This window comes from Homo sapiens, chromosome 1, assembly GCF_000001405.40.
Source record: "Homo sapiens chromosome 1, GRCh38.p14 Primary Assembly".
Taxonomy (NCBI): domain Eukaryota; kingdom Metazoa; phylum Chordata; class Mammalia; order Primates; family Hominidae; genus Homo; species Homo sapiens.
Window position 1 is genome coordinate 64,737,469 of NC_000001.11, and position 13,718 is coordinate 64,751,186.

At 41.0% G+C, this 13,718-nt stretch overlaps 1 protein-coding gene across 3 annotated transcripts in view, besides 2 other annotated features; it reads left to right on the forward strand.

Moving 5' to 3' along the window:
- Window positions 7,261–7,360: a silencer, noted in NCBI's record as "silent region_956". NCBI's record gives its function as "represses an Ori minimal core promoter by ATAC-STARR-seq in GM12878 lymphoblastoid cells {active_cell/tissue: GM12878}" and the evidence as "EXISTENCE:reporter gene assay evidence [ECO:0000049][PMID:35858748]".
- Window positions 7,381–7,580: a silencer, noted in NCBI's record as "silent region_957". NCBI's record gives its function as "represses an Ori minimal core promoter by ATAC-STARR-seq in GM12878 lymphoblastoid cells {active_cell/tissue: GM12878}" and the evidence as "EXISTENCE:reporter gene assay evidence [ECO:0000049][PMID:35858748]".
- Window positions 7,607–13,718, forward strand: part of RAVER2 (ribonucleoprotein, PTB binding 2) — an 88,158-nt gene continuing 82,046 nt past the window's right edge. For all 3 annotated transcript variants that reach the window (NM_001366165.2, NM_018211.4, XM_011541706.3), the window contains exon 1: window positions 7,607–7,953. In NM_001366165.2, coding sequence (NP_001353094.1) covers window positions 7,705–7,953 — 249 coding nt within the window. In that variant the 5' untranslated portion in view covers window positions 7,607–7,704. The remainder of the gene's footprint in view (window positions 7,954–13,718) is intronic.

The following is a 13,718-nucleotide window of genomic DNA, read 5'->3' on the forward strand; positions in this document are numbered from 1 at the left end:
ATATACCCTAGGTTTGTGTATGTACATTCTGTGATGTTTCCACAGCAATGAAATTGCCTGATGATGCATTTCTCAGAACATATCTCCTTCGTGAAGAGATGCATGATTGTATCTCCTTTATAGTCCTCATTCTATTTGTCCTCTCTGCTGCATGGATGTATTAACCACTCTCCTTGAAACTTTTTGTTCCTTGGCTTCTCTGAAGCCACTCTTTCTTTGTTCATTTCCTTTTTTCCCCTTTGATTTTGGGTTTTTTAAATAGTGGGTATGACACGGATTGCAAGGTAAGTAGCAGAAAGCAGTGAATGGTAAGTTGGTTCTGCTTCTGATCCAAGAAGGAAGTCAAAGACATTCAAGGTCAATACTGTGAAGACACAGAAACCAAGGAGGTGATGTGCCAGAAGCTATCATGGGAAGCTGGGGCCAAGGATTAGGAGCTGAACACCAATAAGGTACGAGGAGACAGGAATACAGGGAACAATACCTAATGTAATCCAACTAGTTTTGCCTGAAATCTCTTTCATTTTTACCTGGCTGTCATTTTGTGGGCTGGGCACATAAACAGTACAAGCAGAATCTTAACGAAAGTGCCAAATACTTTCTACTTCCTTTCCTCTCTGGCCTCTAAGTTGGTCCCTATAGTCCTATTTCTTGGACTTCTCTATCAATCTACAGACTTAGCTTGGATGATCTCATCCAGCCTCATTTTTTAACTACCATGTTCTCCTACAGTTTCTAAAGTGTCTTCCGGGTCTAGCTTTTTTTTTTTTTTTTTTTTTTTTTGAGACAGGGTCTCACTCTATCACCCAGGCTGGAGCACCGTGGTGTGATCATGGCTCACTGCAGCCTCGACCTCCCAGGTTCAAGCAATCCTTCTGCCTCAGCCTCCTGAGTAGCTGTGACTATACGTATGGGCCACCACACTAATCTTTTGGGTCTTTTTAATCTATATGCCCTGTAATATTTGAAGCTCGGATGCCTAAATCGACTTTGGTAATATGACTTTCTAAATTGCTACCTCTTTCAGTTGCAGCATCACCACCCATGCAATCTCTTATATAAGAAAGCATAATATATCATTTTCTTTGCTGACATCCAATAGGTCACGAAGAGTTTTATTTTTTTTTAATTTTTGTAGAGATAGAGTCTCCCTTTGTTACCTAGGCTGGTCTCAAACGCCTATCCTCAAGACATCCTCCCACCTCGGCATTCCAAAGTGTTGGGATTACAGGCGTGAGCCACTGGGCCTGGCCTAAGATTTTTAAAAATACTTATTTATTATAATTATTAATATTTCGACATGACTGTCTTTTGTCTAGCCCTTGAGCTAAGCGCTCTGCTATCCCTTTATAGATAGTACCTCATCTTGGCTGGGAGCAGTGGCTCACACCTGTAATCCTAGCACTTTGGGAGGCTAAGACAGGCAGATGGCTTGAGCTCAGGAGCTTGAGGCAGCCTGGGCAACATGGCAAAACCCTAACTCTACAAAAAATCAGCACATGCTTGTAGTCCCAGCTACTTAGGGAGCTAAAGCGGGAGGATCGCTTGACCCAGGAGGTCAAGGATGCAGTGAGCTGTGATAGTGCTACTGCACTCCAGCCTGGGTAACAAAGTGAGACTCTGTCTCAAAGATAGATAGATAGATAGATAGATAGATAGATAGATAGAATCTCATCTAATCTTCAAAACATCCTTTAATGATAGCCTTACAGGTTTTGTTATCATCTCTGTTTTAGAGAGAAAGAGTCTAAGGCTCAGCATATTTAAAATAGTCTTTCATGCTTTAAATATTAGGTTGGTGCACAAGTAATTGTGGTTTTTGCCATTTAAAGTAATGGCAAAAACCACAATCACCTGTGCATCAACCTAATGGTTGTTCCAGTTAACACAAAATTGAATTCAGGTAGTTTGACTCTAGATCCTGCTCTCTCGCCACTATATTCTGCTGCTTCTTTGCTCCATGTATTTTTCTCAGAAAAGTCTCACAGATCCAGCTCTTTCTCTGGCTACAGTTACACAAGGTTACATACCCGGGCTCCAAAAGCAGATGGATTTGCATTGGAACCCTGGGGCCCCTGCCTGCTGTGTGACTTTGAACAAGGCTCCTAACCTTCTCTGCCTTTGATTCCTCATTGGTAAATAGGTACATACTAGCAACATCACAGGTTGGTTATGAAATCACATCACAGGTTTTAAATGAAATAATATAAAGAAAAATGGAATGAATAAAAGCTTAGCTAACCTATGTAAAGCTCTATATACTTAATTGCTGTTTTTATTATTCTATGCCAGTATAAGCCCTCAAATGTTTCCACTGTGTTTCAAAAGATTTCTAACTGGTCTCCCTAACATAAGAACCGATAAATTCATTGTCTTGATTGTCAGAATTACATTTTAAAAAGCTAAATCTGATCATGTCACTTCCCTGCCACAAAACCTCTAATGTTCCTATTCTCTATTTGACTGCCTTTTATGCCATACTGAAGTATTGACTTAAAATGGAATCAACTTCTTTAAACTGGAATGACATCTTCTGCCTTTCTCGTTTATTTCCTGCTACTCTCCCAAAAGAAGTATAGTCTTCATAAACACCAAACTTATTCTTCCATAGACCTACCAGTCCCTTTGAGGCCTTTGGGCCTCTCTGTTTCCTGTTTCAGTACTTGCCCCATTTCGTCTAGAAAACTCCTACTTGTCCTTAAGACCTAGCTCCTCATAATGGCTTCCTCTAAGTCAAAATTGAACGCCTGTCTGTGCTACAAAGAGTACTTTATTCATGGCATTTATGACATGGAATTTACAATTACTGAGTTGCAATGACTTTCCCCAGGGAAAAGTCCATTTCTGAATAAAAATCAATCAAATTCGGTGTGTGGTACACCGGTGTACAGTGTCTGGTACATTATAGACATTCAATAAATACTGCTAAATGAATAATGTGTATTGTTTATAGTTTACAAGGTCTTTTCACATACTTAACTTATTTTCATCATATTATCATATCACATAAGCATAAGAGTTTGGATACAAGAAGCTGTTGTTATTACTATTATTATTAAACTGAGACTTAGTAAACATTTCTAGCATTTTCCCCACCTGCAGAACTTTAAAAATACACAAAAATTACCAATATGGGACAGTAAACTAGTTCAACCATTGTGGAAGTCAGTGTGGTGATTCCTCAGGGATCTAGAACTAGAAATACCATTTGACCCAGCTATCCCATTACTGGGTATATACCCAAAGGATTATAAATCATGCACATGTATGTTATTGCGGCACTATTCACAATAGCAAAGACTTGGAACCAACCCAAATGTCCAACAATGATAGACTGCATTAAGAAAATGTGGCACATATACACCATGGAATACTATGCAGCCATAAAAAATGATGAGTTCATGTCCTTTGTAGGGACATGGAGGAAGCTAGAAACCATCATTCTCAGCAAACTATTGCAAGGACAAAAAACCAAACACCACATGTTCTCACTCATAGGTGGGAATTGAACAATGAGAACACATAGACACAGGGTGGGGAACATTACATACTGGGGCCTGTTGTGGAGTGGGGGGAGAGGGAGGGATAACATTAAGAGATATACCTAATGTAAATGATGAGTTAATGGGTGCAGCACACCAACATGGCACATGTATACTTATGTAACCAACCTGCATGTTGTGCACATGTACCCTAAAACTTAAAGAATAATAAAAAAATAAATAAATAAATAAACTTTAAAAAATTACCACCAATATTTAAAAAAATAAAGGCTAAAGCTAGCATAGGGCTCATATTTTAATAACATGGTCATTATATAGATCATGATAATTACCTGTGGGTATTGGTAAATACATTGCTGCTTGATAATTGTACTTCACTTCAAGTTCAGATTAGAGTGTTCCTTTAGTATGCCATGGAAGCAGCTATTTAAAGAGTCAGGCTAAACCTGGCATGAGAGGAACTCTTTGGAATTACAGTAGCATTCCAAAGTCTTTGCAGTTTCCATCCAGTTCTTTTATGTGGCAATAACAATTAATTCAGTTTAAAATTATTTTTAACCAGTAGATTCTGCCATTTCCCTTAATTCCTTGAAAACAGTTGAGCAAATGTAAAACATACTTGATTTGAAATCTAGGGCAGTGTTTTTCGAAATGTGAGTAAGGACTCATTAGTGATATGCAAAATCGACTGTGTAATTCAAGCAATTTTAAAATGGAATGGAATAGAATAGGAAATACTAGAATGTGCTACATGATGAAGGAGCGTGATGTTTTGTGAAATCTTCATTTCGATTGTGTGTGTGTTTACTAAATTGTGATATAAAATATATTTCCCACTGTGGCATATATTTCCCACTAGATTGGGTCAAAAAAGTTTGAAAGCCACTACCCTATACGACGTAGCAATATTGCACAAGGAGTGGGATCAATTCAAAGTAGCCACTTAATAAAATTGGCTTAATAATTTGATAACATTGTAATCATGTCCCCATTGGGGCCAAAACTGGAATTACATTATCATAACTCCCAAAACATAATCAACACCTGATTCATTCACCAGACTTAACCTCAAATAACATTTAATTATTTCCAAAAATTAAACCCATCTCTAAGAGGTGAGTATTTGCTACCACATAAACTATGCAGAATAATTTGCTGTAGATTATAAAGTCAATTCCAAAAAAGCACTTTGGGGCTGGGCGTGGTGGCTCACGCCTGTAATCCCAGCACTTTGGGAGGCCGAGGCGAGCGGATCATGAGGTCAGGAAATCAAGACCATCCTGGCTAACATGGTGAAACCCCGTCTCTACTAAAAATACAAAAAATTAGCTGGGCTTGGTGGCACACGCCTGTAGTCCCAGCTACTCTGGAGGGTAAGGCAGGAGAATCGCTTGAACCTGGGAGGCGGAGGTTGCAGTGAGCCAAGATCACGCCACTGCACTCCAGCCTGGGCAACAGAGCAAGACTCCGTCACAAAAGAAAAAAAAAAAGCACTTTGGAGAATGTTTTGAGCAAAAGCAATCACTGAAGTTATATTCAGACCACTATCCGTTTGCATATTTATTATATTTAATTATAATCATTGCATAATTTTCTCTCAGTGAGACTTAGCCCCTATTGTACAGGAGCATTATTTTACTATTTCTGTCTTCTTATTGCCTTTATATATTATCTAGCACATAAGGGACATTTAATAAATGTTTGCCAAGGAGGTGGTACTCATTTGGATAAATACATGTTCTGAAACATAATGAATGACTCAAGGTTACAGCCTATGCTAAGGCTATTCATGCTTCTTCACTTCAAAGAATGTACTTTTCAAAGTCTCTCAGCTCTACAAAATAGGGCCTTATTGGAGTTTAAAATGTATACCTTTTAAAATCAAAGGAATACAATTTAAAAGCAAAATGATACATTAATACTAGAATATCATGGATGCAAGCAGAGAAATAAGTGCTCTTATACAATGCTTGTGATAGGGAAAACTGAGGTAAGTTTGTAAATACATACAAAAAATCCTTAAATATGCTTACTCTAGATGCAGAAATTTTGCTTCTAGTTCTTCACTCTGTGGAAAAGTAATGATCTTCAAATATGTATAGAGGGTTAAACTCAGTGCTGTTTACAATAGATAAAAATAATAGGAAATACTAATGCTAGGAAATAAGTGAATTTTCTAATTCAACAGAATAATATGCAGCCATAAAAACCATGGTATTCAAATACATTGGCATAGAAAGGGATTCAGCAGACATACTGTAAAAAGCAGAAAACAGAGCTGTAAACTACAGAATATCATTCAAAAACATTTTTATGCAGTAATAGTCACGTAATAAAATTAATATTTTAAAAGTGAATAGTTCAGTGACTATTTAGTACATTCATATTATTGGGCTACTGCCCCCTCTGTCTAGTTCCAAAACTAGATTTTCATCATTCCATAAGGATGTTTGCACCCATTACCTTCTCCTCCAGCCCTTGGTAAACACCAATCTGTGTTCCGCTCTATGAATCTACCTATTCTGATATTTTATACGCATGGAATCATACAATATATGACCTTTTGTCTCTGGCTTCTTTCATTTAATGCTTTGGAGGTTCGTCCACCTTGTAGGGGTCCTTAATTCCTTTTTATGGCTAAAAATATTTCTTAGCATATATATATCCCACGCTTTGCCTATCTGTTCATCAATAAATGGACATTTGGGTTGTTTCTATCCTTTGGTTACCAGGAATAGTGGTGGTATAGAAGGGTGTATTGCCGAATATCATTTTAATGATACAAGTATTAGCAGCCATTATTTTTGGGTGGACGGATTACGGGTGAATTATTTTATGTTATTCAGAACACTGGGCTTTGGAATCAATCAGAACAGATCCCATTTCCTCACGTGTAAAGTGAGGAAAACAAAACCTACGTAATTGAATGATCATGAAGAGTAAATAAATATGTATATGTAAAGCATTTAGAAATGCGTGGTTGGGGGGAGCACATGGTAAGGACTGAATTTGTAGTATTTTTAAAAAATCTTTAAAACATTTTGTTTTTCTTTTAATTAGTGTTAAAGTCTTTTTTTTTTTTTTTTTTTTTTTTTTGCTAGTGTACTTGCATGCTACACAATTAAGATGCATGGTCCCCTTCGCTGATGGTCACCTGGGCTAGTGCCAAAGGCTGCTGGATTGTTTGATCTGATGACATCCGTTTGACTAAGTATAGTTCTACACTGTAACTCTCCCTCCAAGTTTCAATTAAAATAATGTTCCAAGCAGCGTATTCTCCAGCCCCTCTGCCACAGCTCCTTTTCCATTCTAGTCTTTGTTTCAGCATCACTTTCCATGTTGCAGACCCAACTACCCAGGTTTTACATTTTAGGAACTGCATGACAGGGACAGAGGGACAGGTGAAGGGCACAGGCTTTCTCATACACAGCTAGCAAAATACATTACGATCAGGTTTTACCAAATACATAACATTTCTCCCACAATGTCCCTCTTTTTACTCCCCAGAAAATCTCATTGTAAACTCAAACTTTGCCAAATATGCTCTTCTTGAACCAACAGAAGGGTTACCATCGGGAGCCAGCCGGGCTGCAGGAGGCGCCCTCCTGCCACCCCTCCAGCCCCATCTCGGGTGTGGGAAGACCGAGTTCGCGCCCGCAGCCCCCGGGCCGCCCCAGCGCGGGAGTTTCGAGGGGAGCCGGGGGAGAGCTGCGGCGTCACATGGGGGGCCAGCCGGGGACAGGCGCCTGGGGCTGAGTCTCCCGGCGAAGCCACCGCGAAGGGGCCGCATCCCCCAGAGAACGACCCTGGGCGTTCGCGAAGGCCTCGCAGAGAGGGGGAGCCCGCCTGCGCGTCCGCGCCCTCACAGGTGTCCGGGTGGCGGCGCCCGGCCCCGCCTGCGGACCCGCGAGAGGCGGGCGCGGGCGCGCCTGTGCGCCGGGGCCGGGGGCCGGCGGGGGAGGTTCCCGCGAGGTGGTTCTCGGGCTCCTCCTCGGCGCCTCAGGTTTCCTCTCCCCGCCAGCAGGCTGCTGGCTGCGGCGCCGCCTCTCTCTACTCCCTCCTCCCACCGCCCCCCTTCCCCGCGGTTGGGCCCACTCTGCGGCCTCTGCCCGCCTCGCCCTCGCCCGGGCCTCCTCCCGCTTTCTCTCTCCGCTTCCCCTGGAGCCTCCGAGGAGTCCGCAGCCGCTGGGCGCCCGGGAAGATGGCGGCGGCGGCGGGAGACGGCGGCGGCGAGGGGGGCGCGGGCCTGGGCAGCGCGGCGGGGCTGGGGCCGGGGCCGGGGCTGCGCGGGCAGGGCCCCTCAGCCGAAGCGCACGAGGGCGCCCCGGACCCGATGCCCGCCGCGCTGCACCCTGAGGAGGTCGCCGCGCGACTGCAGCGGATGCAGCGGGAGCTGAGCAACCGCAGGAAAATCCTGGTGAAAAACCTGCCCCAGGACAGCAACTGCCAGGTACTGGGACGGTGATAGGGGCGACGCGTCCCGAGGGGCGGCGGGGCGGCGCTCCGTGTCCAGGCTGGGATCGGGGGCGCCTCAGAGCGGTCCTGGGGAGTGGGTCGGCGCCGAGTGGTGAGAGCGGCCCCTCGGTTTGACTGAGTTCTTGGGGTTTCTAGCCTGCAGACGCCCTGCCAGGGAGGGGGGCAGATTGGGAAACTGAGGCTCTGAGTGGCGAAGCGGCTTCTCCAAGGTCACGGGAATCAGGGGCTGCTGCCTCCAAGTTCGGCCCGGTCTTTCCTTCCCCTACGGCCGTAGAGGAGTAGGAGGTGAAGGAGAGTGGAGGTGAGTTGTGGAGCACACATTTTGCGGGGGGGAGCGGGGGTAGAGGGGGCCGAAGCTTCGGGAGCACCTTGGCAGGGGCGAGGGCTCCAACGTATAGTCCCCGGTGCTCGGGAGTGCCATAGGGGGCAGGGGCACGAGAGAGCTGGGAGTGAGTTTCGCTGTTGTTGCAGAAGCACTTGCCCAAGTTTCTATGAAACAACTCTGTCTTCTCAGTTTGCTAAGGCCCCAGAATAGAGTTATTGCTGCGCTCCTTGGAGCCTTGCAGCCGCCTCCTGCTACGCCAAGTACAGTACTGGAGGGTTTGTTCTCAGTGACTTGGATGAGGTTTAAAGATAGCTACTCTGTGTATTTAATCCAGATTAACTGTTGCTTTTAAGATTAGAAACTCTGCATCTATTTAACTTTTTTTTTCCCCTGATTTCAAAAGCTGCATGCTCATTGTAGGAGAGCTAGGAAAGACAGAGAAGCACAAAGGGGACACAGAAATTACCCATATTTCTGATACCTGAAGATAACCATTGTTATCCTGGGATGTTGTTCTTTTCTCTTTTCCTATGCATATATATTTTTGTTTTATCAAAAGCTTGAAATCATTTCTTTGATTCTTCAGGATTTCTTAGCTGTCTGGATGTTCACACATGTTTCACATATAACCTGAATTTATATACTGCTCCGAGTGTGGTGGGCTGTCCTGGTAGTTGCGGATTTGTAGTTCCTCCTGTAACCGGATGCATGAAATTGCAAGAGGGCTGGCTATTGACAATTGCATGGCAGTTCTTCCATGTGACTTATAAAATAATGAGACCAATGCCCCATTACTATGTAATGAGACCTTACATAGCCATTCACAATAAATATGAACATATAACCTTATAACCCGTAGGCATGGGGGGCTATTTTGTTTCAAAATGCAGTGTCTGTCAGTATTGTTTATCTCATCTGTCTTTCAACTCTTTCCATTCCGCCATGGTCCACTTCCCATCTGTCAGGTAATGTTTTGTGATACTACCTGTTAAGGACACCTGCAATGGACTGATTTCTTGGAAGCAGCCTCCCCTGCCCATACAAATAGAGGACTGTAAGGGAGCTCAGGAAGGAGGAGGCTTGGAAGAAGCAGATGGCATTTTTTAAAAAAACAAATTTAAAAAATAGCAGCTCTTTGTATAGACAGTCTAGGAGGAGAGAAATAGAGAAGTATCTCAATGTCTTTGTAGAATGTCAGCTGTTTTTGTTATCACAATTCCTTGCATTAATTCTAAATATATTTAGACCCCAAATTGAAGACGTTCTGTCTATTCTTGCTTTGCTGTTGGTATCTTTCTCATTTCCCTTCGCAATAGACATGAAAAATATATCAAAGGGTCTAATAAAAGGAGCAGTTTTAATTAGTGATAGAAGCTTTCTCAGAATTACACTGGGATTTGTATTTTTGAGATTTCATCTACTTAAACTAATATTTTCATATGTTCTGCATGAATTTTTTTGTATTTTTTGTTTTAACAATTTCCCTTAATTATAATGTCTGCTTTTTCTTAGTGACTATATTTTACTGTCAACTTACTGATGAAAGTTTCACTTTATTTTATTTTGTGTCTTTTTGCTAGTAAGGCCTACATAAAATCACCTGTGCTAAAACTACATATTTACCCTTATGAAATGGTTAATATGGCTTTTGTTCAATTATTAAGTAATCAGATATTTTTGAAATACTAAGTTCTTGTTCTTTTCCAGAAGAGACTGTGTTTATTCATTCATTTCTTTCTTTCTTTTTTTTTTTTTCTGAGACAGAGTCTCGCTCTGTCATCCAGGCTGGAGTGCAGTGGCGCGACCTCAGCTCACTGCAACCTCTGCCTCCCAGGTCCAAGTGATTCTCCCTGCCTCAGCCTCCCAAGTAGCTGGGATTACATAAGCCTGCCACCATGCCTGGCTAATTTTTGTATTTTTTAGTAGAGATGTGGTTTTGCCATGTTGACCAGGCCGGTCTTGAACTCCTGACCTCAGGTGATCCCACACGCCTCGGCCTCCCAAAGTGCTGAGATTACAGGTGTGAGCCACTGTGCCTGGCCTCATTTCTTTATTTTAGAATATCACTTTAAGGATCAAAGACATTCATAACTCTAGTTCTCAAACTGTGTATTTATGTCTCTAGAAAATACTGATCAATAACTTACTAGTAGAAACCCAATAATTTTTTCTTAACATTTGAAATATATGAGTGTTTTCTTTATTAAATGTAGTTTTCATAAATCTCAAATTTTGTTTTATTTTTGGTATAGCAGATTTATAATAGCATCCCACAACTTTATAGTTCCTATAATTAAAAGGCATACTGAAAGTATTTTTAACTGGAAGCTTTTAGAGGTATGTTTATCAAATACCTTATAGAAGTACCGGCTCTAAAAAAAAGTGAACACCTTTATATTAAGTTCTCAAAAGCTTTCTCACTGAATAATTACTGTGCATTCAGTCAAGCCCTGTCTGGTCTGCCTAAGCTTTCTGGAATCTTCCTGGCCCTCTTTGTTTTCACAGCCTCAGCTCTGGTTCAAGTCCTTTTCGTCTCTTGTTCACTGTTAACAACTTTTCGGTTTGTCACCTACCTTCATTACTGTCCTGTTTCTTACATTTTAGCTCCTTCTGCATGCTACTTCCCTTGAGGGATACTCCTGAAGCACAAATCTGATCATGTCACTCTCCTGCTCATAAAAAACCAGCCTTTGGCTGCACGTCCTCTCAAACTTTTCCTCAAATTGTCCTTAACAGTAAAGAACAGTGAATCTGAATTAGACTGTTGCAAGACTGAAATTGCTTTGAAGTTTTGTGTTCTGTCTGAGAATTTTATATTAATTTTATATTCTATTAGTAACATTGGATTTAACACAAAAATAGCATTTAACTCCCAATTTTTTTTCATAAACTTGACACTTATGGAAAATGTACTATATTTGACTTTTGATTCTCTGTATTTCTGTATTACCATGGAGTACACAGATATGAGTTTGAAAAGCATGAAATGATAGGACAGCAGTCTAAGATTCTTAGGCTTTTTGTGTGTTGGCCCCTGCCTACGTTTCCAGTCTCATTCCTTTTTAGTTTTTATTTATTGTTTTGAGACAGGGACTTGCTCTGTCACCTGGACTGGAGTGCGGTGGAACGATCACTGCTCACTGCAGCCTTGACCTTCCAGGCTGAAGCGATTCTCTCACCCTCTAAAGTAGCTGGGACTACAGGCATAAGCCACCATGCCAGGCTAATTTTTTTTTTTTTAATTTTTTGTAGAGACATCGTATCTCTATGTTGCCTAGGCTGGTCTTGACCTCCTGGACTCAAGCAATCCTCCTGCATTTGCCTCCCAAAGTGCTGGGACCACAGTGTGAGCCACTGCACCCAGCCATCAGTCTCATTTCTGATTAGTCCCGCATTGGATTCTGTTCATTTCTGATTAGTCTTGCATTGGATTTTTTGTTTGTTTGTTTGTTTTTTGAGACGGATTCTCACTCTGTCGCCCAGGCTGCAGTGCAGTGGTGTGACCTCGGCTCACTGCAACCTCCACCTCCTGGGTTCAAGCGATTCTTCTGCCTCAGCCTCCCGAGTAGCTGGGATTACAGGCATGTGCCACCACGCTCGGCTAATTTTTGTGTTTTTAGTAGAGACAGGGTTTCACCATGTTGGCCAGGCTGCTCTCGAATGCCTGACCTCAGGTGATCTGCCCGCCTCGGCCTCCCAAAGTGCTGGGATTACAGGCGTGAGCCACCGTGCCCGGCCAGTCCTGCATTGGATTCTATTCCACATTTATCAAACTACCTAGATCCCCAAGTACCTCATGCCACTGTGAATTGAATATTTATAGTTATATCTTTGTTTTGGAATGTATTTATAGTGAGTACTTTATAGTGAATAATATTTATAATTATTTTTAATGAATAATTTATAGTCAATAGTAATGTTGCAAATGCTGGTTCCTATTCATAGCCATTGTATATGTGTGTGTCTGGTCTTTTGCAACTGAATTTAGAATTTTGATTGGTTGAGGTAATGTTTTAATATTTTTTCTAATATATGTGTTATTGTATTTCTATAAATTGTATTACGGTTAACCTGGTTCTGTTTCAATATTGTTGTCATTGGGGTTTCAAAATGGAGAAAACAGGGGCATTTGCTTCTTAGATTATTTGTGTTCACTTAGGTTTTTTTTCTTACAGGTCTTATGTGTGTGCATGTGTTTTGTTTTTGTCATCTTGTTTACCCTAAAATCTTGAAGAGAGTCTCTTGTGAAATTAGAAGACAATGTGAAGTGCTTAGGGCCAACATTCAGGATCAGTAATAGAGGAAACAAAACATTCTATTGTCACTTTGGATATTATAAACTTACATTTCAAAGTACTCTAATATGATAGTTAATTTGAGAAGCTTGATGGTTTATTTACAGAGACCCATTTGAAACCATAATATTACCAAGTAAGCACTTTTTAGAATCACAAACAACCAAATGTAAGAAACTCTAGTTAATCTTTTTTCGTAATTAAATTTTTTTCTGCTCTTTCTCTTTTCTTTTTCTTTTCTTTTTTTTTTTTTTAAAGAGACAGAGCAAGATTTCTCTGTCTCCCAGGCTGGAGTGCAGTGGTGTGATCATAGCTTACTGCAGCCTTAACTCCTGGGCTCAAGTGATCTTTCCATCTCAGCCATCTGAGAAGTTGGGACCATAGGCATGCACCACTGTGTCCAGCTAATATTTTTTAATTTTTTGTAGAGACACGGTCTCTCTATGTTGCCCAGGCTGGTCATAATCTTATTTATAAAAGCTACGTATTCCTGTTTATACATCAGTATAAAAAAGAATTATCTTACATATTTTATGTCCTTTAACTGTGGGATTTAAAAATGTACTTTGTTTTCTCTAACAATATATTTGGTAATTATTGCCTCTTTTTAAAATAGGGCTATTATTCTCTACTTTTTTCCTGACAATATTGGGGTGTTTTCTCTTTTTGAAATTATCCTTTCTTTAAAATCAAAATGCCATTGCTTACCTCCAAAAGTTACTTTTCTTAGTGTATGCTGTGCAAAAATTATCTATTAAATTTTCTTTTCTAATGCAATTAAACAGAATTGAATTATGGGTTCTACTTCTTTTTCATGTGTTTTGTTATCCTATTCTCAATGTAACAAGAACACTGAAAGCTGCTAGGGAAATGTACTTCTAGATTTCTGGGACACCACTGTCTCCTTAAGTTTCTAGTTTTGGAAGAAATTCTTGAAAAGTGTTTGAGAAATGCAGTTCTCTGCTATGAAAACACATTCAAGAAGAGGAGGAATACTTTGTGGTTAGCATCAAAATGCTGTGTTAACAGCCATTCCAAAGAAATCTCATGTAATCTATAGCCCATTTCCCAGTTAATGACTGGGTTATGCTTAGAAATTCTTTTTTGAACTTGTGACAT